The sequence below is a fragment of the Homo sapiens genome, chromosome 7, assembly GCF_000001405.40.
Source record: "Homo sapiens chromosome 7, GRCh38.p14 Primary Assembly".
Classification (NCBI taxonomy): domain Eukaryota; kingdom Metazoa; phylum Chordata; class Mammalia; order Primates; family Hominidae; genus Homo; species Homo sapiens.
Window position 1 is genome coordinate 128,008,034 of NC_000007.14, and position 24,096 is coordinate 128,032,129.

A 24,096-nucleotide genomic window follows, 5' to 3' on the forward strand; every position below is an offset into this window, starting at 1 on the left:
TGCCTCCCAGACAACAGCCTCATCATCCACCTGAAGTACAAGTAATAATTTGAGAATATGACAGTGGCATATAAAAGGGAGTAGGTGATGTGATGGAGGCAGACAGAAGAGGTAAGCGGGTGCATTCTCTTTAAATTGTATTATTTTAGTGAGAAAAGGATGGGAGCCTAAGTTAGAGAAGTCATCCAGGGCTTTGGCCTTCTGTAAGGAAACTCCTCCTAGACAGGGTTGCAAAGATAACTGCACACAGATTGAGAACGTGTGCTAGAGGAGGAGTACAGGTGTCTGACAGACCTGGAATTTTCCATCGCTTTCCCTGATATGTAGTTGTAGAAAAGCTGCTGTCTATTCGTGCCAAATCCAAGCTTCAGATAAGCCCGGAGGAAACCAAGGAGTGCTAAACTCTTACAGGTTGGGGGCTTTTTCTTTCCTTTTTTTTTTTTTTTGGAGGGGGGTTGCATTGTTTTGATTTTTGAATTGAGAGAGTTGTGGGGAGGTCAAAATGCCCATCCACGATTGCCCTCGAACTCCCTAGGTGGGACTCCAGCTCAAGCACTCTGTTCTGGTCAAGTTGAGGCAGGGCACAGGGTGGGCCCATGAGTGCCATCCCTTTCCTCTGGTATCCCATGCCCCTGGACCCACTCCCTCTACTCTCCCATGAGGCTGATGCAGGACTCATGCCATGCTGTCAGGGTCTGGGGGTTTCTCCCACCCTGTAGCAGAGGCAGGTTACCCTTCTTGTTAGCAGTGATGTCTGTTCGTCTTTTAAGGGGTTGTCCAAGTGGGGGAGGAACAAATCATATTTTCCAGCAATTTAATTTTATTAACTCTGATTTTTTTCCCCTTTTCCAAAGCACAGCTAAATGGAGCTAAACATAGACATGAGGGCTATATTTAGTCCTGATGGTGTGGTAGAGTAGAGAAGGCACAAACACAGAGGTTTATCTGCTACCTAGTAAATATGGGGAGGTGTCAGGACTGTAGAATTCAATAGTAATAATAAGCATTTTTATGGTGCAATGACAGCTTTGATACAGGGCATAATTTTCTCAGGATTGCTATTAATTGTGCTTCTGCCTATGAGCGGCCCCCTGGTGAGGGGCTTGGAACACCACACAAGTTAAGCTATATTAAACATCAATTAAAACAGCATAAAATAGAAACTGAATAAAATATGCAAAGGTCAGAGTGGCTGTGAACATGCAGACAAGGTACTGGGGAAAGAAGGGTTAGGGCCTGGTGAGCCTGGTGCACTGGCGGATTCATACTCCCAGCTGCTGTTAGCTTCTTTGGAGCCCAGGTTTAGTAGGTTTGTTGGAGAGTGAATTATGGGACCCTCTAGCTTTTCCAAGTTCAATTATCCTCAAAGGGGTTTCGGAAACTACTCATTGCAGGCAGCAAGAGATGGAAAAAGACAACCAGATTCTACCAGTGCTGTCCAACAGAACTTTCTATGTTGGTGGAAATGTCCTTTGTCTCTGCTGTCCAGTACAGTAGCCACGTAATGGATATTGAGCACTTGAAATATGGTTTATACAACTGATTAATAGAATCTTTATAAAATTTAAATAATTTCAAGGTAAATAGCCACATGGGGCTAGTGGCCACCTTATTAGACAGCATAGGACTCTAGACAAGTCCCCTGCACATTGTGCATTCTGGCAATGTTAGGTTTGCATTGTGTTCTTCTGAAAAAGTCTGCACCTTCCCCCATGCCAGTGAGTGTGTTTTCTCAATAACTTTTTTTTTTTTTTTGACCCTTATCTCTCATGCTCTTGACACAAACTTCCACATTTTTTCATAAGGGTCACACACGATGCCAAGAAATGAGAAAGGAGTCAATGCCGGATCAAGTCAGACAACCTTGTCCTTATCCTTGCCTCCTTTTCTCCTGAGAGCCCCTAGTCAATCTAATACCAAGTGTTTCCCACTCCCAGAGAGAAAAGAAGGGAATGGCTTTGGATCTCTGGCTAAAGATCACAGACTGCGGAGTCGTCACTGTTCCCACTGAACATCTGATTAAGTTGCTGAGTCTGACCCTTGAGTTTCCCAGAACTTGCCAAGATTCAGAATTCCCAGATCATCCAGGCAGCACGCTCCTGACAGTCTTTGGTCCTTTTGGCACCTGAACTGAAAATCCCTTTTCCCATAGCTCTTTCAACACTTGTTGAATGCTTATAATGAATCCATTCATTAGGATGACACAGTATAGTGGAACAAAGCACTACACCTGTAATCAGAAATCCCATGTTTAAGTCCTGACTCTTCCATTTACTATCTCTGTGACCTTGACAAAATCATTTCACCTCCCTGAGGCTTCATCTTCCCCAATAAAAATGAGTGTTTTGGACTAAATGACCTGTGGGTACTAAGAGGATGAAGAAAAGAGAGCCAGAGAAAGAGGCCCTTATTGCAAAGCCTGTCTTCCACATAGCCTCCCCCTTCTGATGTCAGCCTGCATTTAAAGCAGCCCTTTCCTGAGGCCACGGAGAGGCTTCCAGTGAGTCTAGTTACCACTCACCCCACCCACAGGTTGTTCAGCACCAGAGACACCATGAGCCAGACTGCATGGCATTACTGCCTCTGGTGGTTATTGTACTCATGTGAACCTCAGGGAAGTCAAGACTGGTCCCCTATTACTTTGGCATCCTCAGAGATGCCGTAAGAAGGCAAGAGGTTCCTTGGCTTAGGCAGTGGGTCCATAAAGCAAGAGGGGTTTTGTAGTTACCTGAAGTATGCAGATCTCCATGCTGGCTCAAGGGCTGTTTGCCAGCCTTCCTTTACCCAGTAGTCACTAGTCACTGCTCCAAGGATTGGCCCCAGCCCCCCAGAGCCCCTGTGGAGCCGCCAACACTGCACAGCTCACAAAGGGCCCTGTAGCATCTCTAACTGAGGAGCTGGTGAGCGGACGCCCTCAGCAGAGGTATTTTTAGCTACAATGATACAGCCTCATCTTTTTGCAGGACGTTTTGTTTAGTTATTTTTTTAATGAAATAAATAAGTAAAATTGAAGACTGTGGTACTTACACCCCAGTGCCAACACCCAAGAAGTTTTGGCGCACACTGTCCCCCCCACCCCCAAACACACACACCACAGGCCTATATAATTAATCCTCTCTAAAACCAGGTGCTGAGGCTCAGAGTTTGCCAGAATATTAGGCCACAGAGACAGTGTGTACAGAAGCAAGAAGAGCTAGAAATAGAGTGGAGGAATGATGCAGACTGGCCCAGTGCAGAGGTGCTTGAGGGCCCTGTGAGCTGCCCAGGCAGCTGGTAACTACCCTGGTTCCTGGTGTTCAGACCTTTGATGGATTTGGTGGCTCAAGTGAGTGGGCCTCAACTCCTGGGGAGAGAGTGCCCTTGTAGTATACAAAGGATTCAGTTCTATGCCTTGCTGACATTTTAATGCTTTTGTTTTCCTTCTCTTCATCCTGTCTGGCATGTCACGTTTTCCTTGGCTCTTTTATTGTGTAACATGTGATCAGGGGCTAAAGGACATTCGCAGAGCTTGCTTCAGATCCCAGAGCAGGATCAGGGTAGTGGTTCTTACCCCAGCTGCACATTGGAATCATGGAGTATGGAGGCTTAGGAAAGCTACTAATGCCTGGGCCTCCCTCCAAAGATTCTGGCTTCATCAAGCACCAGCTTTTTAACTTCCCCAGATTTATTAGTTGATACCAAGGAATAACTTTGATAATTTTGGTAGGCATAATAATGGCATTGTGGTTATGTAAGAAAATGAACATATTTTTTAGAGATACATATTAAATGAAGTGTTTAAGGTTGAAAATGGCATCATGTCTGGGATATACTTTAAAATGCTTCCACAAAGAAAAGGGGGATAGAGATGAAGCAAATATGACAACTTTGGTAGTTGTTGGATCTGGATGGTGGTTATATGGAAGTTCATTAGTATCCTATTTTCAGTATTTTGAATTTTTCACATCAGAAAAGGGTTTTAAATATATACATACATTTTATATAAATATATATTAATGTTGAAGCTCCCCAGGCAATTTTAATGTAGAACTAAGATTGAGAACCACTAGTTAGTTTAGGGGATTAAATTTGGATCACCATGCCCTAAAAGATGTGTTTTGTCTTTGGACTTTGTCTAACCTAAGCCTGATTTTTCTGGATAAGTTTTCATGAGTAATCTGGACTCTTGGTAGGTGGGGGACAGGATGGCACAAAGATCAAATTAGACCTGTATCTGGAATCTGACTTCAGGAGCGTACAACTAGACAATATTGTCTCTTCCACTGGATGAACTCACTGTAACCGCCCTGAGAGCTATTATACCTTGGAGTTTACCTGCCTCATCACTTGCCAGCACTGCATGTCCCATCCTATGGACCTCTCTGGCTACACCAGGGCAATGGAAGACAGCTGCAGCTGCATTGTAACACATGCCACAAGAAAGCCCCAGTCCCTTAAGAGTGCTCAGCAGTTTGCCAAGCGGTATTTGCCTAAAGCTGGGGCAAGAGGACTGAAACTTGTACCTCCCCCCATTCCCAGGAGTCCACATGCCCTCAGCTCTGCATCCGTATGTGTATGAGGCCTCTTTTGTGTCTTCAGTGCCTATTCCAACTCCCAAGCACTATTTTGCTCTGGCTGGTCAGCAAGTGGGACGAGCAGCAGCTTGCTGCAGCCAACCTAAATGGAGCTCTGGAGCTCAGGCTGGAAGCTTCCATGCTACATTTACATACCACATCCTTGCTCAGGACCCTAGCTGAGCACCTTTTCATTCAGGGGTAGGCTGCTAGTTCTTCTTTCTTGGGGGGTTTTGTGATTTACACCTAAACATTAAGCTATGAATAGTTTATGTTTTGCTAAGCAATACCGAAGCAGAGGAAGCGTTATGGACTGCCCAGGTCACTCAGCCAGCCCAAAGGTTCGCATGACACCCTCCCTTCCCATTGCCCCTGGACCCCTGAGACAGCCCTTTCCGCCAGTGCCTGCCAGTGCACAAGTCACCCCCTGCACCTCTGTAGAAGGGCCTGGCTCATCTTTGTTTTCCTCACACAGTCAGAGTCAGCGTTGGTCCCACACTGTCCAGTGCTACATCCAGACTCCAAATGAGGGGGTTGCTTCCTCAGCCCAGTCCTAAGAACAAGCCTACTGTGTGGCCTCATCTGTGTTTCTTCATGGGACTCTGGACAGGAGGAGGCAGGGGCTTCTCCTGACTCTGGATCACTCTCCAGAGTGCTCCCCCTTTATATACCTCCACCTTCCCACTCTTAGACCACATTGTCATTGTGTCCGCCCAAGTGCTGAGTGCCTTGAGGGCAAGGACCAAGTCTTTCATCTCCATCGTTCCCCAGCACCTGGCAGGGTGCGGATCACTATACTGGTTCTAAATAAGCAAACTAATGAATATGTGAATCACCGAAGGGCTATGGCAGGGAATGCCTTTACACTAAGGGTCGGAATCCTCAGATTTAAAAATTAGTTTCTCAGTCATTTGGAATTATGAACCTAAACTGTGAGATGATCTAGAGCAGCAGTCCCCAACCTTTTTGGCACTAGGGATCAGTTTCATGGAAGACAATTTTTCCATGGACTGGTCGGGTGAGGCAATGGTTTGGGGATGAAACTGTTACACCTCAGATCATCAGGCATTAGATTCGCATAAGGAGCACACAACCTAGATCCCTCGCATGTGCAGTTCACTATAGGGTTCAAGCTCCTATGAGACTGTAATGCCACTGCTGCTGATCTCACATGAGGCGGAGCCCTGGCAGTAATGCTCCCCGCCTACCACTCACCTCCTTAGGCAGGGCTCTAGATCAGGGGAGACCTCGGCCTAAGTTTGCTTGTAGAGCAGCCTGTGACTGATGAGGGACAGCCTGTAGCTGGTAATGGCTAGAGAGAAATAACCTATTTGATATTCTTACTACTTGCCTTTGGAATAAAGGGTAATCTCTCTGTGCCTTGGTTTCTCCCACTTGATATTCACAGGTCTCTGAGCAGTCTATCCTCTCTCCTTCCTTGCCTGGGGCTCTGAGGAGAGTGACCTGCTTGTAGGAGGGTTTCCCTATGTTTTTCCAGGGCAGTCAGTCAATTAACACCTGGCCACTTCTTTTGGAAGTTACTCCTCCTGAACCTGAATGAAACTTCAGGAACAGTCACTCAGCTTAAGCACAACCATGTACAACAAGCGCTTCTGGAGTCAGTGGCAGTACTGTCCTGTCTATCAGAAACCTGTCTGATCAGTAAGTCTTCTTGCCTCCCTTTTGAGTCTAGAGGCTGTCATCCTGGGTATACCTTTGAATCTCCTGGATGTTTTTTAAAGCATTGAAGGAAGTCCTGTCACCACCCCTAGAGATTGCAAGGTATTTGATATAGCATCTAGATTTGATCTACACTGGTATTTTTAACAGCAACAGTGCTGATAATACGAGCCTGGCGCTGAGAAGCACTGTCTCCAAGAGTCCTCACTAGAAGGAGCTGGAGTGGCACTTGTCCCCCGAACAGTCCACTGCTGGCCTCCCTTTCCCAAAGGCGGGTGGGAAGGCAGAGCACTTGTGTCGTCCTCCTTAGCTAGTTCTGAGACAGGACTCCCATATTGCGCAGTTGGTGGTGCAGCTTCCCACCCACCCACAGGCCCACATACACATGCACACAAAGCCCACTGCTTCTTAACTTTGGGCAGATCTGTGGAGGGGAGATAGATCTATCTGTGGATCAAGATTCAGTTTTGCTTTGGCGGGCAGTTGTGAGAGAGAACAGTCCACAGCTGTGTCTGCAATTTGTTACCAGAGATGAAGATTTTTTTTAAATTCTAGCTCAAAGAATGCTTCCCTGTATCCATCCCACCAGCTCCCAAGCATCACATCCCACCCATTGGTAGCAGAAGAGCCTGCCTTAGCAGTGAGAGGCAAGGCCAGACACCAGTTGAAATCCCAGACAGCTTCCTACCCTCCCTCTATATCTTGTCAGATATTTCAAGCTTTAAGTCCTTATTCGTGCTCTGCCTACTTGGCTGGCTGTTCTTGCACTTGAGCGGCTTGTTTGCCTGGACAGGTCCAAGCTGTCTGAGCCATCAGCAGCTGCACCTCCTCCCTCGCGCCTTCTGTCTGAGCCAACCTTGATTCACAGTAGTGCAGATGGCCCCAGCCATACCCAGGGATGTCTGCCACTCCCATCCCCTCTCCTGCCCTGCTTTCCCAAGATGAAGGGGCTGGGTCAGGCCTTGCCCGCAGGTCAACGTGGGGCTAAAATGAAGACCGCTCTTAGTTCATGTTCTGGCATATTAATCAGGGTGACATGATAAAAAGAATTTATCTGAAACTCATAGAACAGGGCAAGGTTTAAGTTCATATTTTGCAGAAAACACTTTCCAGCCTTCATCAGCGCTAATCTGTTTTTGAAAATGGCCTTAATCCCACCCACTTTGCTCCCTAAGTATTTATAGGAGCTGAGAGTCAAAAAAGCACATGTCAGAAATCACCTTTCTTCCTTTTCCTACCCTTACCTCATTTTAATATAGACTTTGGCAACTTCTCAAAGTACAATGCTCAGTTTTTCAGTCTGGTTCAAGGTGCTTAAAGGTAGTGCCCTGTAATACACCATTATAATCAATTAGTTTCCCTTCTCCTTGTCCCTTTCCAACAGAAATGAAATGATTGGTAACAAGTATGAGAGGGGTCATGGGTGACCTTGTTCAAGAGAAAGATATGGCTGCAGCAGCCCCAGGACACCACTCTGCCTTTCCCCATTGCTGGCTTCTTGGTGAGCAGCAGAAATTTGGAGCTGTACAGGAATCAGATGTCCCACCTAGCAGGCTCTGCCGGAGCCAGACATAGCCATCCACTCTGGCAGCAGCCTATCGAAGGGAGAGAATCCTGGGGCAGCAGCCTACCATGCTGCCCCTTCCACTTTAGATAGGGCCATGCAATGTAAATACATTATTTGTATTTACATTTGGGTCATCTGCAAACCAAAGCGATCTCAGCAGCTGCTGGAATGCCATTGGTACAGCCATACCAACATTTATATTATTCACCCTGATGTCTAGATTGCTATTACTGACATTATTTTAAGGCTTTTTCTCCCTTAAGAGAAAGCTCTTCCAGCCCTAGGCTGCTTAAATAGGGAGGAACAACTTCCTTTTTTTTTTTTTTTTTTTAAGAGACAGAGTCTTGCTACGTTGCCCAGGCTGGTCTCAAACTCTTGGATTCAAGAGTTCCTCCCTCCTCAGCCTCCCTAGTAGCTAGGACTATAGATGTGCACCACCCTGCCCAACAAACCTTTTTTTTCAATTGAGGAATATTAGGATTGAGATATATTATGGACTTTCTATACAACTTGGGGTGTTTTCTTCAGGATAAGTATATTTTTAATCTTTAATAATGATAAAATACTTTACTGGCACCTAAGGAACAATAAAATACTGACTAAGAGGCCTGAAGAGGCATCTGCTCCTATCTCTAGAATTTGAAACCAGTCGTTTGGTGAGCTCTCATGCTGGAGTGGGCATGGGGCCGTGTGGGTGGCAGAAAATCAAGGGGTCTCATTCCACTGAAATGTCATGGTTACCTCAGCCTATGGCTGGTGTTTGCCCTCTTCTCTCCAATTCGGTAAGGAAGAAAGCTCCTTTACCAAAGCGTAGAGTACCTGGGCAGAACACCCAGGAACCTTTTTCTTTCTCTAAAGTCACATGATAGATCTCACCACAGCAGTCAATTTCTTGTTCTTCCTAACTGCCCCTACCCTCCTTGTGTAGATTACATGTCTTTTTCTCTTCCTGTTACAATTGTTACTTAACCTCTTAACCATAGGAAACTTGCTTTCTTGGATCCATTATTTTCTTGTGTCTGACCAAATCTTAGTGATCTGCCTGCTTTTGTTTTTGATCCAGAAATTCTAGTCATTTGGAAGTACTGGACAGAGGGTCAGCTATAGGCATAGGCCAGGTTCTTGAGGTATAGGTCCCAAGGACCTGAACTGACAATATTTGTCTTAGTCCTTAAAGTAACCATCAGATTCACTGCCAGAAACTTTAGCCAGCAACAAAATGTGGCAGATACACTACCACCCCCACACCCCCTGTTATGTCAGAGAACATCCCTGAAGCTGCTCAGCACAGTGTAGAGGGGACAGCAGAGCTCCAAGAGGGATCCTGCTTTCCTCATCCTGCAGTGAGGTGTGATTCAGAAGAGCACACAGCACGCCAGAGCCTTGGAGGTTAGGGTAGGGAGGTTCTTCCCCCTGTTCTCATGTGGCTTACCTGCAAACCTGCCTAGATGGGGACTTACAGAGGGCTATCATCACCCCAGAGTGCTTGGACTGCTCAGATCAACTAGGTAGCTGCTTGCTACCAGGATGTCCAGGACATGAGGGGGCTACGTAAGTACAACTATTAATCACCCAGGAAGATGTTTTCCTGTTGTCCCAGTACAGGGCCACCTCTCAGGCTCCATGTGTCGCATTCACTGAAGTTTTAGACATGAGAGGTGGCTCTGTTCTCTCTGGGGGACAAGTCAGGAAAAGATTGCCTAGCTGACTCTTCCCTGGTCTCAGTTCCGAATGAAAAGCCTGCCATGCGGCCTTCAGCATCTGCTACTCCCCGTGCCACACCTGATCCCATCTCAAGTCATTTCACACCAGCAGAGGGAAGCCCTGTTCCAACTCCAGCAGCAGCACCACTCGGGGAGGGGGGGCAAACTCTTTACCCTTGTGGTATTTTGTAAACTGCAGCAGCGAAGCCTGAACTTCCAGGAGGGAAATGAAATGACCTTGGCAGGTAACAGGTTCAGGACAGCCAGCATTTGTCTTGGTTGTTGGTTTCCACATGTTAAATGCTTCTAGTTGCTCCTGACCTTCCTTGCCTGCCTTTGTTGGTCAAGTCCTATAGGCACTGTGGCATTTGTGCAGGGAGCAGGGGAGAGGAAGCTTTTCTGCTTTACTCTGGCACCTGACAAGGGCTCTCTATCCAGCATTGGCATTGCCAGTGGGGAACTGCTGAAGTAGCACTCTAGAGTATCACCCGGGAGACCCCTCTGTCTCCTGCCAAGCTAAACAAACCCTGCCCATGCACTCTTCTGAATCACACCTCACTGCAGCTTTGTTCCTTCTTCCCCAGTACTGCTCAGGGCACCGCCTTATGGGAAAGTCCTGTGTGTCAGCAAAAGAAGCACTTGAGGAGAAACAAATTGATATAGGAAGGGGGAGTGCCACCCAGTCATCTTTTAAGTACAAAGAAAGGTCATCGGAGCTGTATGGGGTCCAGGTTGGATTATTGTTGACTCTGCCTTGCTGTGGCAAAAGGGCCAGCTCTCTGGGTCCAACCTTGGGCATTGCCAACCCCATCCAGCTGCTGACAGCCCAGCACAAAGAAAACACATGCTGTGTACACACAGATGGGTTTGCATGTCAGCATGAGCCCATTTTTAGCCTTTGGCCAGGAAGGGCAGTTCACAACACAGTAATTTAATTAAATTTGCCTCCCTCCGTGGCCCACATATTTGAAGAGGTTTGGGGGGAAATGAATCTGGCTGAGGAACATTACCCTGCCGCTCTGGCACTGCCCCAGAGCCAAGCCACTGTACCATAAAGGGTCTCACCATCCTGAATACGACCCAGGACATCTGTCTGCACTGCAGGCTCTCTGGCCGGGCTGCCTGCTGGCACATCTGGCAAGGCAGCCTCTGGAAGCAGTCCGTCTCTATCACAGGCAAGCCACCAGGGGCAAAATAAGGGACTCCCTACCCCCTACTCAAGACCTGCTGGCAACAACTTTAGCAGTAACTCACAATATTAGCTTTCATCACAGATTTCAGTGTATTTAGAGTGGAGAGGACAGAATAAGAGAACCCTCTACCCTCAACTAACATTGAAGCCTCAATAACAGCTATGATCCTAACTTCATTGCTGTTAAGGCCACATACCTGTACTTCTGTCCTGGAAATGACCAGTATTTAGGGACCTGAAATTGAATCCCTTACCCTTACTTCCCATGAACTTATTACCACATTTCACATCTCAAATGTCCATCAGTTTTGTCCATTATGTCTGAGCTTAACCCACACTCCAAACTCCAAAGACCTGCCCCCCTCCCCACCTCAGCCAGCTAGTTCCTCCTTGAACTGAGTTCATCAACTCATCAGGAGGCCACTTCTCCTGTGGTCACCCCCTGGTCCAGAGAATCTGCCCATGATGGGTAGTCCTTTCTTATTGCTAACCCGTAACCTCTCAGTCCGCCTTTTCTGTCCTAAGTCAGCTGTACCAAGCCTGCTAGGGAAGAGCATTCTCTTTGGTTATCTTTCTCTCTCCCCATCAATAGCACATCCTCCTGGCTAACTAATGTCTCTTGTGTAATGATAGCAGCACCTCTGAGAGAAAGGGAATTTCTCTGGCACAGTTCGTCTCAACACCAGCATAACACAGGCTGTTGCTTAGGAGTGGGAATCATTAGAGTCAGGCCATTATTGGAGGGGACCGGTCTCTAGGGGAGCTAGCAGAAATTGCCGCTCCTTAATGGATGGAAACTCATTTGCCTGAAGCCCCTGCCCTCCTCTTTATTTTCTCTGCATTCCTCACCTCCCATTGCTTCCCAGCTTTGAAGTTGAAAAGAGAGGTAACTCCACCCAATGCACATTTCTGCTAAATTAACTTGGTTAGAAGAAATCCTTGCCTGAAAGCACTGTTCTTTTAGAATGTTTCTATTGGGACTTCACTTGAAACCATCATGAAGAAGACAAATTCTAATTAAATGTATGTGATAAAATTATAGCCAGGGCCACTCTGTTCCCAAGAGAGGATTTGAGATGGGAGGAAGAGGGGACAATTTCCTAGCTTTCTGGACCCCAGTTTCAGGGTAGACCCCTGAGTCAACCTGGGCTGCCAGAGCTTTCCCTCTGAGGGTCCCCTTGCTTACACAACACTAGGAAGGCCAGGGAGGTAGAGCGGGACTCCAGGCTTCTCTGCTTCTCCAAGGGTCTGCATGACCTTGAACAGACCTCTAACATGATTTAGCTTTCTGCAAGCCCTCCTGTCATGTTGGGATAGATGTTACCTTACTACCCTGCACTCTTGTAGAGAGAAGGGGAAGGCCATGGAAGCAACACATGCCCCTTTTGGTTTATTAGCCATGGGGCTGCCATCAGAGCACACATGCCCTGAAGAGAAAGGAAAGTTGCCTGATTTCTCAGCTCTTCCTGTTTGAATGAAATCATGAGTGGGCACCATCTGTCTCAGAGCATTAAGCACAGATAACAGTACTGGTGGGAAAGGCCTTCCCCCCTCCCAAAAGGGAACTATAAAGGATTGCATCAAACTGCAAACTCCAGGGGGCACTAATCACTTTGCCATTTCTGTAAATGGCGCCCCCTGGAGTTGTAAGTCATGGTGGCCCTGCCGGCGCTCAGCAATTGCGCTAGGTCGCGAACCCAGAGACTACAGGTAAGGTCTCTGCATCACCAGCTATGTGACACCTGGGCAAGGCACATCTTCCTGGGCTTCATTTTCCTCATAAATAAAATGTGAGGGTTCAACTAGATTTTCTGAATTAACTTGGAAGTTCTCATTGCCCTCTCCATATCCCGGAAGTTAGGAACCATGAACCTGTGTTCTGTCTCAGTGTCAATTGTCATCCCCAGGTCGGCCAGCCTCGATAACATACCCAGAATGAGAAGGCACCCTCGGCTGACATAACACCACTAGTCGGAGTGGATGTGGACTTACACATGAAGGGGGAAGGATTAAGGAAAGGGAAAGCCTCCAGCGGGCACAATGGATGAAACAGCAAGCGCACAGAATGGGCCAATGCCTTATTCTTCTTGTATTCATCCTTCTCTGTGGCTTCAGAGCCTTTTTTCTGACACACATGCACACAGCACCTCCAGTGCTTGCCGTCTCTCCCCCTCATGAGAGAAACAAAATGAAATGCAAACATGCTTTGAAAGAGCACAGTCTTGTCCTGTCCCTCTGCATCCCCTCTCCTCATTTCTAATGAAAAAAATAGTCTTCCCTTTCCCTGGTTCCTTCAACAGTCTCTTCCTTAGGTTATTTTTTTCCTCTCTCCTTTCCTACTCCATCCAGACTTCCCCCTGCCTAATCTTAAAGAGATGAATTGGAAGAATATGCAGTCGTGTCAGAAGGATGCCATTGTCAGTTCACACAGGCAGACACTAATAGGATAAAGTATTATCTGACTTCCTTTAAGTCCAGAAATTAAGTCTTCTTGCAATGGCAATAGATTATAACTTATAACCACTGTGGCTGGCAGGCTGCAGAAACAGGCTGTTAGTATCTGAGGCCTCAGCTCCATTTCTGGGCCTATTGTGAGGGATGCACTCAGCATTCCTCCAAACACAGCTGCATGATCCAGGGAACTGGCACTTGGCTCCTGGATGGAACTGCCTCTGTGGAGAGCTGCCTATAACTCATTCAGTTCACCTGCCGTGGGAGAAGCTGTCTGAATGGTCTTAATGAACCTGGATGAGTGGGCAGGTAAAGGGAGGAAGCCAGGGTCTTGAAGACTGGGAAGAAGTAGCCCGAGGCAAGGAAACCAAACTTTGCACAGGGAACACTTAGTGTGTGAAAGCTCTTCTCAGTCATCCTTGCTGACTCATTGAGCAGGTAGTAACTTATCTAGTGACTAAATCAGCACCAGCTTAGAGACACAGGGAAATGAGGGTTGAGACCTTAAAGGAACTGTAAAAGAGACTACAAATTAAGGAGTTGCCCTGGAGAGGAAATATCATGAGAAATGTTAGGAAGAAAGAGCCATCATTCTTCAAAATGGAGGGCCTCATGCAGGATTTCCTAGGTCCTGTTATGGCAGATGAGTGTACTCAAATGGGGAATATGGGACAGGAAACCTGATACAATAATTAATTGAAGGGTATTTTTTTATTAGTGGGGCTATAAGAAGGTAGGTGGGGGCTGGGTACAGTGGCTGACGCCTGTAATCCCAGCACTTTGTGAGCCCAAGGTGGGCGGATTGCCTGAGGTCGGGAGTTTCAGACCAGCCTGGCCAGCATGGTGAAACCCCGTCTCTACTAAAAATACAAAAATTAGCCAGGCGTGGTGGTGCGCACCTGTAATCCCAGCAACTCGGGAAGCTGACGCCAGGAGAATCGCTTGAACCCGGGAGGCGGAGGTTGCAGTGAGCCGAGATCACACCACTGCACTCCAGCCTGGGCAACAGAGCAAGACTCTCTCTCAAAAAAAAAAAAAAAAAAAAAAAGAAGGTAGGAGGGTATGAAAGAAACAAGTAGATCAAGTACTGTTTCTTTGGCATCCTATAATTGATTTAAACTGTAGTAATTACTCTAGTAATGTTCCTGAGTGTACAGAATGAACAAACCTGAAAGCCTAAGTACTATCTTGGTCCGTCTAGCTCCCACACCTAGCTTGAGAGTAGCCTCTCATATCAATGCTTCCCTGCTATCCTTTCAAAACTCTTTTTGATGGGATAAGTGGGCAAAGATCATGCCATCGTCTCAAATGCTAACTTCCTTTGACAAGACAGTTTCTCCCAGGGATATCCCCCACAGGCCTAGGCCAAATCTCTGACTCACTGCAAAGGTCCATGTACACTGAACTGATAGACATCACTATTTTTATTGGAAAACACAATTTATATAACACTCTTCCTCTGGAATAATACTCTTTTTGTGGACAAATACCGAGTTGCTCCCTCTCTTCTCCCCAGCACACCCCACCCCCCTCCCCATGACTGTGTTAATAGAAATGAGGAAATGGGTTTAGAGCAGATCCCTGAGTGAGCCTGTCAGGGTCAGGATTAAATTACATCCCTGAAGGCTGGGTTGCTTCCCCAAGCAGTGGACAGCCTCCAGGATAGGGAACAGGACTGTTGTGGGTAGGTGGTTTGGCCCAAGTACTGACAGCAAAGCTGGCGTGTACCAGAGGATAAAACCTGTGATCATCCTAAAATCTAATTCTAGCCTCTCATTAGGAAATCAAAATGCATTCTTTCTTCGCCTCTCTTGGAAAGTTGATCTCCCTGCTTTTCTTCTCCTCTGTTTCATGCCATGAATTTCGCACTAACAGTCCTCCCCCATCCAGGGTCCAGCCAGCCTCTTGCTTGCTAAGGCAGAGGAATCTCCCTGGCTTTCCTCCTTGACTGCATTGCAGCCCCTTAGCCTGTGTATCTGCCATAGAGCTCCATTCTTCTCTCATTTGCTCCAATTATGGTGCTTTTTGTCTGCCTTTCTTTTCTCCTAGCTCTGCAATACTGCTCGGAAGCCCCACCGGCCCTTTCAGTGCTACCTTCTTCCTCCTAGTGCCTCCCCACTCCCCACTCCCAGTCCTGGTAACACTTAATGGTCAGGGAGGATTTCATCACTGACCTGAGTAATAAGGCTATGACTGCTCTGTGCCAGAGAAACATGGGTAGGGGAGAAGACATTAGGAAGTTTACCTTCTTGGTAAAGGACCTAGGCTTCCCAAGGTCCCAGCCCTCAGCTTATGCATGACTATCAGCACCTTTACTTTCTTCTGGCTCACCACAAGGAAAGGTAATCTATTCCTGGACTAAATCAGTGCCTTGGGACAGCTATAGTGCTGGTGTAGGGATCAGAGCACAAGGCAAGGTTTTCCTGGGAGGATAAGTATAACCATGTTTTTCACAGTGATCGGGCTTATAGATACTATTGTCTCTGACTTCTAGATCATCATCCTTCTTCTCTGGAGTAGCACAATAGGCATGTCTCTCTTTGGACATATACAATGTTCAAGAATAGGGGTGGTGATGGGGGCTTCTCTGTTGATCTGTGTGTTTGTGTGTATTGTCAAATAACTGTTATCTAGCATTTGCTATATGGTGTGGAGCACTAAGTGTGAGATCTATGTCACACACATACATATATAATTATATATGTAAAATTTCAATTCTCACAATCTGTGAAGTACTGAGGTAGATAGTAATATTGTCTGTATTTTTTAGGTGAAGAAACTGAGTCTTTTTCCAAAGTCACACAGCTAGTAAGTGATGGGAACTAGGATTCAACACAGGAAGACTGGCTACAGAGTCTGTGCTTGTAAGCACTATGCTATATTGCTGTGTGTGTGTGTGTGTGTATTTCACTGATCTAGTTGCTGAAGCCCTTATCACTGCTCCAAGAAGTAATTTACTTCATTTTAATTTAAAGCAAAGATGAAAACAACTTATCCTACTGTCCAAAACATTCTTCCCCTTGCATAGGAGAGGGGTGCTTCCTGAAAGGAGTGAGACCAAGAGAGTTGCTCTGAGCCAAAAGCTGCCTTGCAGTTTAGCTGAGGCAGGATTTAGAAATGGCGTGAACAGTGCCTGCATTAGCCGATGGCATGGAGTGCTGAGTGCCAGCAGAGGAGATAAAATCAGACATATGTTTGGATATAAATGTTCCTCTCTCTCTTCTAATTTTAAGCCCCTGCTGCTTTGTTGCAGTGAAATGATGGAGCCTTAATTATAGGCCCTGGCCCCCTGAGGTAGAAGCCTGGGTTGAGTAAGGCCCACTTAGCCCTCTCCCAGTCTCTACCCATTACCACGGAAGGAAGCCAGAGACCATGGACTCTGACCCTCTTCTCAGACAACAATAGGAATTGTCTTGCAGGGACTCTCTGCTGGTTGTTCCACGGCACTCAGCAAGTTGCTGGCCTCAATACATGTTAAATAGCCATGATAAAGCTAATGTCTCTAGGCCTTAGAAACTAGCCTATCTACCTTTACCTCCATTGACGATAGGATGCAGCTGAAGGGTGTTAAAAAGTCCTGGAGCACATTGTAGAAGTGGCAGCTACAGCATGGCACTTAAAGAGTTAGAGCTGGGGTAGATACAGTGGAGAAGAGGAGCAAAAGACCCTCCCAGTATTCTCATTGTTGAGCCGGGTAAGCAAAAACCACTCCATTATGGGGAACCTCTGTGGTCCAGTAGGTGTTTTAAGACCTCCTCCACACTGCAGAGTTTCCAAGGCTGGGAGGAGGCCAAGCCACCTTTTCTAACTATAAAACACCAAGTCTTACCTACTTCACTCCTTCCCCTTAGCTGTCACCCTCTGTGGGATCCTGCAGTTTCTGTCTGCCATTGGGCCTAAGAATCAGGAAATGGTTATGTAGAGTCCTGATAGTCTAACCCCTTAGCACATGTGGAGCCCCTGTAGTCAGGCCTTAGAGGGCAGTATAGCCAGTTCTAAAGAGAGTGAACAGCTCTAAGGGATAAGAGAACACAGACGTATCTTAGGAAGGTCTCATTTTAACTGTTTTGCTAGTTAAGTATGTTCTTGATAGCCAATAGCAGCCTGGGTGAGAAAGCACATTGACTCAGGAGTCAAAAGACCTGGGCTTTTAGTCCCACCTCCTCCACTAGCAGTGTGACCTTGGATATGTCTTTTAATTTCTCTGGGGCTCAGTTTCTTTGACTGTAAAATGTGAAGGGATTAGACTAAATGATTTTTCACGGCCTTCAGTTCTGTAATGAAAATTCTCTAACTCCGTATCATCAGCAAGAGTCTTTACATCCAACGTGTTGCTATAACTACCCCCTAAAGAGCTACCAACCCGTGTTCCATTCCTAGGTAACAAACCTTGGCCTGGCCAAGGATGAGTCACAGCATTCACGGCTGCATTTTTGGTACTCACGGGATGCCTCTCTGAAAAGCTGTCCCAAGTGCCTGCTACAGAGGAGGATATACCATGATAGCAAAGGAAGGTTACTGCTGTAAAAGTGGAAACTGCATGGATCAAAGGGCAGGCCTACTGGGGTAAGGAACTCTCCCTGCAGCTCTGAGGATACTTAAATCTAGGATCCTAGTCTTAGTCTCCCCCAACTCCTTTGAGGTTCCTTTCAAAAGTCCTTCTCCCACAGATTGAAGCTGAATATAGTCTTCCTTGGGACAAATGCATTTGTCCATAGGACTCTTTCCCGAGATTGTTTTAGGCCCATTTCTGTACCTCTCCCCTCAGACTGTTAGCCACAGACCCTTAGTCATTGCAAAGTTACTGCATAATTCCCTGTCTGCTCAAATAGCTGTCAAAAAAAAAAAAAGAAGGGTGTTAGGAAATTGGCTCCTCATCCTCTATTTCTGAAACAGCAACTTCCTCCGCAATTTCCTCTGAATGCATACCCAGGAAGCTGTTTTAAACAGCCTGAGTTGTGTCTTGTGGCACTAGGAAAGGGAGTAATTTCTTGCTTTTTCACCTGGTCCTAGCCAAGTCCCACCCTTTGCTCTCCTGCAGTTTTCTTTCTTTTTATTGGGGGTATGGTGATAAAGGAGAGGCAGGAGGAACGGATCTTTGGTGCCTAGAACTGTGAGTGGTAGTTTATAAGTGTGTGCCCATACATATGTGCTGGCACACTGATACCCAGAAATGATGTATATACCCAGGAGGATTAAGAATTGGCCCTTTCTTAGCCAACTGCTGCAAAGTGCTGCCTGCCTCTCTTTCCCTCCTTAGTGCCAAAGAGTTCACACCCACTCAGTCCCAATTCCCTGCATTAGTATAAATACTAGCACTGAAGAAATGCAGGGTCCTGATTCACGCAGCCTCTCTGGACATTATTACTTGGTAAGCATCAGGAGACAGACACCTACCACCAAAACATGTTTAGATTATTTAGCACCCAGAGAACAGAAGCAACACTGCCTGTGGGAAATTTAAGCCAAACTACATTATTGCAGGCCTCTGAAATCCAGGTCCCCCAGGTTCCTCGGGTAGAGCTGGTGCTGCCTGACCAGCAGCTTCTGCTGAGGTGGCATTTAACTTTTGGCCAGGTCCCAGGAGCTGAGGCTGACCCATTTCCCCTGCTTTTCCAGGGCATAGGGAATTTGATTATACCCCCAACAAAGCCAGGGACTAACACAGTTAGCTTGTAGAAGGTGCACTAGAATCGGGGTGCTTTTATTTAAGCTAAGGAAAGGTTGACAGCTTTAGCATTTTCCCATACTTGAAAATAATTTAACATTTGTCTTTCCCCCATCATACCTGTACCCTCCCCTCCCCGCTTTTTTATTAAATAGAAATGATTGGCTCATAAGAATCTATAGGTTCAGGGTCTTACTCAATTTAACCCTTTGGGGACATTGAATTAAAAATTCAACAATATTTATTAAAATACAAAAATACACTTTTCTCACATTACAATCAGTGTTCTTTTGTTGGCAATTCCCCTCCCCCACCCATACCACCCCCTTTCAAATCTGAACCCCTTATTTCCTTTTAAAGCTAAAATAATAACTGAAAGAAGTTACATCATTAGATGGACCAGAATAACAGAGATCTCTGCCTTCCCCACCCACGCCCACCCTTTCTCTTCCACCTTCTCCTGAGGGGGCCTGGGAGAGGGAAGCTTCCCATCAGTGTGCTCCATTCAACAGTACCCCATGTGGAACTCCATGTGTGCATGCGTGTCACTTGTAACTGTGGATCTCACAGCTTTTTTGTGAACCATCCTGGTTGGGAAAGGCTTCATTACTTTACGTGAGCCTGTACCCTTTTCGTCTCTCCCTTTTCTTTGCTACTCATGTTCTGCCCCCACCCCATCACCACAACCAGTTGACATCCGCTGTAATAATCCCTAATGAATCAGCATTTAGAAGAGTCACCAAATCACAAGCATGAGAAAAGCTTCCACTCCCAAGCTCCCCAATTCAGGCTTCTCCTCCCTCTCCACCTTAAAACAAACAAAATCTTTTTTAAAAATCATAAAATGCCATCATTGTCTACAATCATGTGTCAGAGTCCAGGAACAACAGGTGGACATGGCACAATGCTAATTTATGGCCTCCTGTGAATACATTCTCTCTGCTTTACCCTCCCTTCCCACCCCCCTGCTGCCGCACCCCTTCAGGGGCCTCCTCCTCCTGGGAAACCCTGAATAGACACATGCCTTGCAGAGTGGGTTAAGCCCAACTGCAGGAATCTGGTGCAATGTGAAAGCATTAGACTGAGAGCTACGCCAGCTCCCGTCCTTCTCTGCTCCTTTCTAAGCAATTCTGTCAGGCAAGGCACATGTGTGTCCAGTGCACAGACCCCCAAGACTTGTGCACATGGACAAAGACTCAGCCCCTTTAAGGGTTCGTTTGAATTTTGGTGGTTTTCCTGCTTAAAATACATGTACAGGTCTATCTTCCCCTTAGCCTCTGAAGAAAAATATTATTGCCACTATCATTTTGGCACAGTACAAATTCATGGTGCTTTTTTTTTGTATTTTTTTTTAATAAGATAATTCTGCAAAGACAGCTCTCGGCTTAAGAAAGATGTCTGTAGAAATGGATAGTCCTGTGTCCTATGAAGCATCTTCTAAAAAATGACAGATTCAGTCTATCCCTCTTGCCCCCTCAGCAGCCCACACCCTACCTCTTTAAGGATGTTTGTTGTTTTAGTTTATTTTATCTCAGCAATTTCAACCTTATACCAGAAATCCCTTCTGGCAGCATAGCAAGTTAACTTGTGGCTTGTACCCCACAACGTTCCCAAGATTCCCCCCCACCCCCTTTAAATAGAACTTACAAGTTAGAAAATATTTTTGTTTTGACTTTTTGTCTTTAAATTTTAATATAATCTGTTTTTTTTAACCAGCCCATAGACTTAATATATAAGCATATACAAGAAAAAGTCTCTCCCCACTCTGTACAAAAGTTGCTGTCTTTGTGTGCATTCTATTGCATTTTATAAGTTTTTTGGGGGAGGGGAGTCATATTTGAGTTTCCTGTACCTTGTCCTTGGTATGGGTCTGAATTATATAAGGTTCAGAGATAGTGGTGACTGTGGGGTGCAGAGAGTTCCCCAGGCTGTTTTCTGTCCAGTGGGCCCCATGTGCTGGTTTGTAGGTGTTGTAGTTAATATGGTCATGAATTGTGGGCAGCACTACTGCCCCCTCACCTGATACACCGGACGGAGCTGCTGTTGCTGCTGCGGATGTTGCTGCTGGGATGTCTTCGTCCACCTGGATTATCTCAACAGTCCGGGCGGCTGTGACTGTACTCCGCTGCTGGTGCCGCTTACGAAGTTTATAGAAGACAATCAACATGGCGGCAGCTAGCAGAGTCACTGCCACAAAGCAGCCAATGATGATCTTGGTGGTCTTCATGACTTCATCCAGGCTGGTCTGCATCTTGTCAGTGGTGTCTGTCGCGGGTACTGCCACCTGCTTGGGCACACGGGTAGTCTGAATGAGCACCGTGGTAGAGGTGGTATATGCCGGCTGGTAACCAGTGGACGTGGTAGGAACAGGCTTGTACTTTCGCGTTGTGTCCTCAGGCGAGATCTCCGTGGTCTCCACTGTTACTGTGGTGAAGAAGCTGTAGTTGGAGGTGTTAAGCTCAGCCGTGCTCACATTGAGGTAGGCCGAGGCGTTGGAGTTGCCTGCAACATTGGTCACCATGCATGTGTACACCCCAGTGTCTGAAAGCAGCACGTGGGAAAAGTTCAAGGTGCCGTCGTTGAGGACAGAGATCCTTGGGTGGCGGGAGGCGTGGCTGAGCACTGTCCCATTGGGCAGCAACCACTTCACGGAGGACATAGGGGGAGTCCGACACTTAAGTTCTGCCATCCGACCCTCAGAAATGTTGAGGTCTCGAGGTGCGTCCATGATGAAGGGGGCAGAGCACTGGAAGGAGGCCTGGTCCACCTCCACGAGGTAGCGGCCTCGCATGTGCATGGGAGCATGACAGCGGCCACAGCAGGTGGAATTGGTGGGTATATACTCTCGAAGCCACCAGGCTAGCCACAGAATGTCACAATCACAGTTCCAAGGGTTGTGGTGTAGATGCAACTCCACCAGGTACCTCAGCGGGGTAAAGAGGTCATGGGGCAAAGAAGAGAGGTTATTGTGGGCCAAGTTGAGTTCCACAAGTGAAGCCAGCCCGTCAAAAGCATTCCGCTCAATCAGGCTGACCTGTGAGTTCATGACCCAGAGCTTCTTGAGGGAGCTCAGGCCATGGAAGGAGCCAGGCCTGATCTCAGGGAAGTGGTTCCCTGACATCTCCAGCTCCTCCAGCCCCACCAGGGGGGTGAGATTGGGCATGTCTTTAATGTTGCACATGCCCAAGTTCAGATACTTGAGGTTGAACAGCCCCTCAAAAGCTCCCTCAGAGATATACTCCAGCTTCTTGAGCTCCCCCAAGTCCAGGCGCATGAGGGAGGGCACCCGGTTGAAGGCGTAAGAGGGGATGCTTTCGATGGGGTTGTTGCGAAGCCAGAGCTCCCGCAGCTTGGACAGGTATTCAAAGGCCCCGCTAGGGATGACTGTCAGCCAGTTGTCGAACAGCTCCAGGGTGTTGAGGCTGGCCAGGCCGTTGAAGGCCCCCACCTCAATCTGCCGGATGGAGTTCCTGCCCAACTGCAGGACCTCCAGGTGGTGGAGGTGGCGGAAGGTGTCGGCCTGGATCATCTGGATGTTGTTCTCCATGAGGTTGAGGTACCGGGTGTTCGAGGGAATACCCTGCGGGACCTCGGAGAGGCCCCGGCGCGTGCACACCACCTTGCTGAACTGGTTACTGCACGAGCAGACGGAGGGGCAGTTCTGGGGCCCGGCTGAGGCGGCAGCAGCGATGGCTGCACACAGAATCCACACTTGCGCCGTGAGGTAGACGAACGGGAGCAGGATGGCATTCCAGGTGTGGTGGTGCACAGTTACCTGCCACAAGAGCTTCATGGTGTGGCACGTTCATAATTCACCATCGCCTGGGATTTTGGCTCGGAAAGGAGAACCAGCCCTACCCCGGCTTAAGTGAGCTAGGAGCTCCTCTTTCCATCTGGAGAAGGAGGTGGGGAGGGGGCGATTAGAGAGACGGAGCGGATCGGCCGAAAAAAATCCTGCCAAACTCGAGCGGCCCCTGGTCTCCCAACCCACCCTCAAGGCAAGCCCTCCGAAAGCTACGACTCTCCCACACTGCAACCGTCCCCACCCAGTTCGCCGTCACCTACCTCGGAAGGAAGGCAGGAAAGCACTGGCGTGGTGTCCTTAAGCTTTCTCCACGGGAGCTGGGCACCTCGTTCCCATTCCGACTTCTTAGTTTTAATTAACAAAAGGGGGAAGTGGTGGGGGCGGGGAGGGCAGAGGGGAGGGGAGGGGAGGGGAGGGAAGGGGTGGGGGAGACAAAATGGCCTCTAGTAAATCCGGAGCCGGAGCCGGCGAAGCCGCGGAGTTGAGGCGCGCCTGGGAGAGCCAAGGCCCGGCGGGCTATGCAGGTGCATGCCCCCCCCTCCGCCCAAGGAGCGGCGCCACCAGCGCTTCCCGGCTTTGTCCTTGGACCCTGGCACCGGCTCGCTCCAGCCGCGGGGGAAGGCGCTTCATCGCCAAAGTGCGCTCCGGCGGCCCCGGCCCGCTCTGCGGGCCGCCGCCGGAGGGAGTGCGGGGGCGCCCCGAAGCCGCCCAGGCCGCACTCGCTGGATGCTGCGCTCCCTCTCCCGGCGTCGGCCGCTCCGGGCCGGCGGCAGCTGATTGCGGTCGTGAGCTCGCGGAGCGGCGAGAGTTAAGAGGAGGTGTTCGCGGCGCCTTCGCCCTCCCCAGACACACACCCCCTTTCTCCTCGCCTCTTCTCGGAGGGTGGAAGAGACAAAAACGGGGGGTCAGTTCTCCAGTCCGCCGGCTGCCGGCACGCGGGGCGGCGCTCCGTCCGGCCCCCGAGGACCAGCGGCGTGGCGGCTGCGCTCGGACCCGGTCCGCCGGCCGGAGGAGCGCGCGGCGCCCGCGGTCGCGCCCGCACCGCAGGCCCCTTCAGAGAGTCCGGGGGCGGGCGCGGGTCCGGCGGCGGCGGCGGCCGCAGCCCCCGGCGGCGCGCAACCGCCCGTCGCCGCCCGCCGCTGCCCGGCCCCCGGCGCGCCGCCGGCTCCGGCTTTGTGCGGAGGGAGCGAGTTCGCGGCTTCGGCTCCCGGCGCCCTCAGTGGCCGCGCCGCCAGCGGACTGCTGCAGCGGCGTGAGCAGCGGGGGTCGCGGCTGCGGGAAACGCTCCGGAGCCCAGGAACATAGTCCCCGCTGGCTAGCGGCGGCAGCAGCAGCAGCGGGGCCCCTGCGCGCGGCGCCCACCGTCTCCTCCTCGCGCCGGGCTCGCGGTGTTGCAGGCGGCAGCCACGCAGACTGCTCTCTCATCCTTTTGTCCTTCAGTCAGAACGTGAATGTACTGCTGACGCATACTGTTCTG

General features: G+C 48.5%; 2 protein-coding genes across 5 annotated transcripts in view, besides 2 other annotated features; one reads left to right on the forward strand and one right to left on the reverse strand.

Annotated features, from left to right (window-relative positions):
- The window catches only part of SND1 (staphylococcal nuclease and tudor domain containing 1), a 440,400-nt gene that overhangs the window by 355,840 nt on the left and 60,464 nt on the right, over nucleotides 1-24,096 (forward strand). Inside the window, exon 17 of one of the 2 annotated variants that reach the window (XM_017011987.3) lies at nucleotides 1-19,066. The exons of the other annotated variant lie outside the window; for it this stretch is intronic. Coding sequence (XP_016867476.1) covers nucleotides 1-45 — 45 coding nt within the window. The 3' untranslated portion in view covers nucleotides 46-19,066. Of the gene's footprint in view, nucleotides 19,067-24,096 lie in introns of those variants that run through there. 2 annotated transcript variants of the gene reach the window in all.
- Nucleotides 10,539-11,089: an enhancer, noted in NCBI's record as "H3K4me1 hESC enhancer chr7:127658625-127659175 (GRCh37/hg19 assembly coordinates)". NCBI's record gives its function as "activates a minimal SCP1, AML or CMV promoter by ChIP-STARR-seq in naive H9 embryonic stem cells {active_cell/tissue: H9 hESC(naive)}" and the evidence as "EXISTENCE:reporter gene assay evidence [ECO:0000049][PMID:30033119]".
- On the reverse strand, nucleotides 19,038-24,095 carry LRRC4 (leucine rich repeat containing 4). 3 transcript variants are annotated; one of them, XM_011516461.4, is made up of 3 exons: nucleotides 23,982-24,095; nucleotides 22,880-22,963; nucleotides 19,038-22,707 (listed from the first exon to the last, which is right to left on the reverse strand). In XM_011516461.4, exon 3 carries the CDS (start codon nucleotides 22,605-22,607, stop codon nucleotides 20,646-20,648), a length of 1,962 nt encoding a protein of 653 aa, XP_011514763.1. In that variant the 5' UTR covers nucleotides 22,608-22,707; nucleotides 22,880-22,963; nucleotides 23,982-24,095; the 3' UTR covers nucleotides 19,038-20,645. The 3 variants fall into 3 exon arrangements, with proteins under 3 accessions (XP_011514763.1, XP_047276651.1, NP_071426.1); XM_047420695.1 differs by lacking the exon at nucleotides 23,982-24,095 and adding an exon at nucleotides 23,474-23,674; NM_022143.5 differs by lacking the exon at nucleotides 23,982-24,095 and having other exon boundaries at nucleotides 22,880-23,404.
- Nucleotides 23,848-23,967: a silencer, noted in NCBI's record as "silent region_18597". NCBI's record gives its function as "represses an Ori minimal core promoter by ATAC-STARR-seq in GM12878 lymphoblastoid cells {active_cell/tissue: GM12878}" and the evidence as "EXISTENCE:reporter gene assay evidence [ECO:0000049][PMID:35858748]".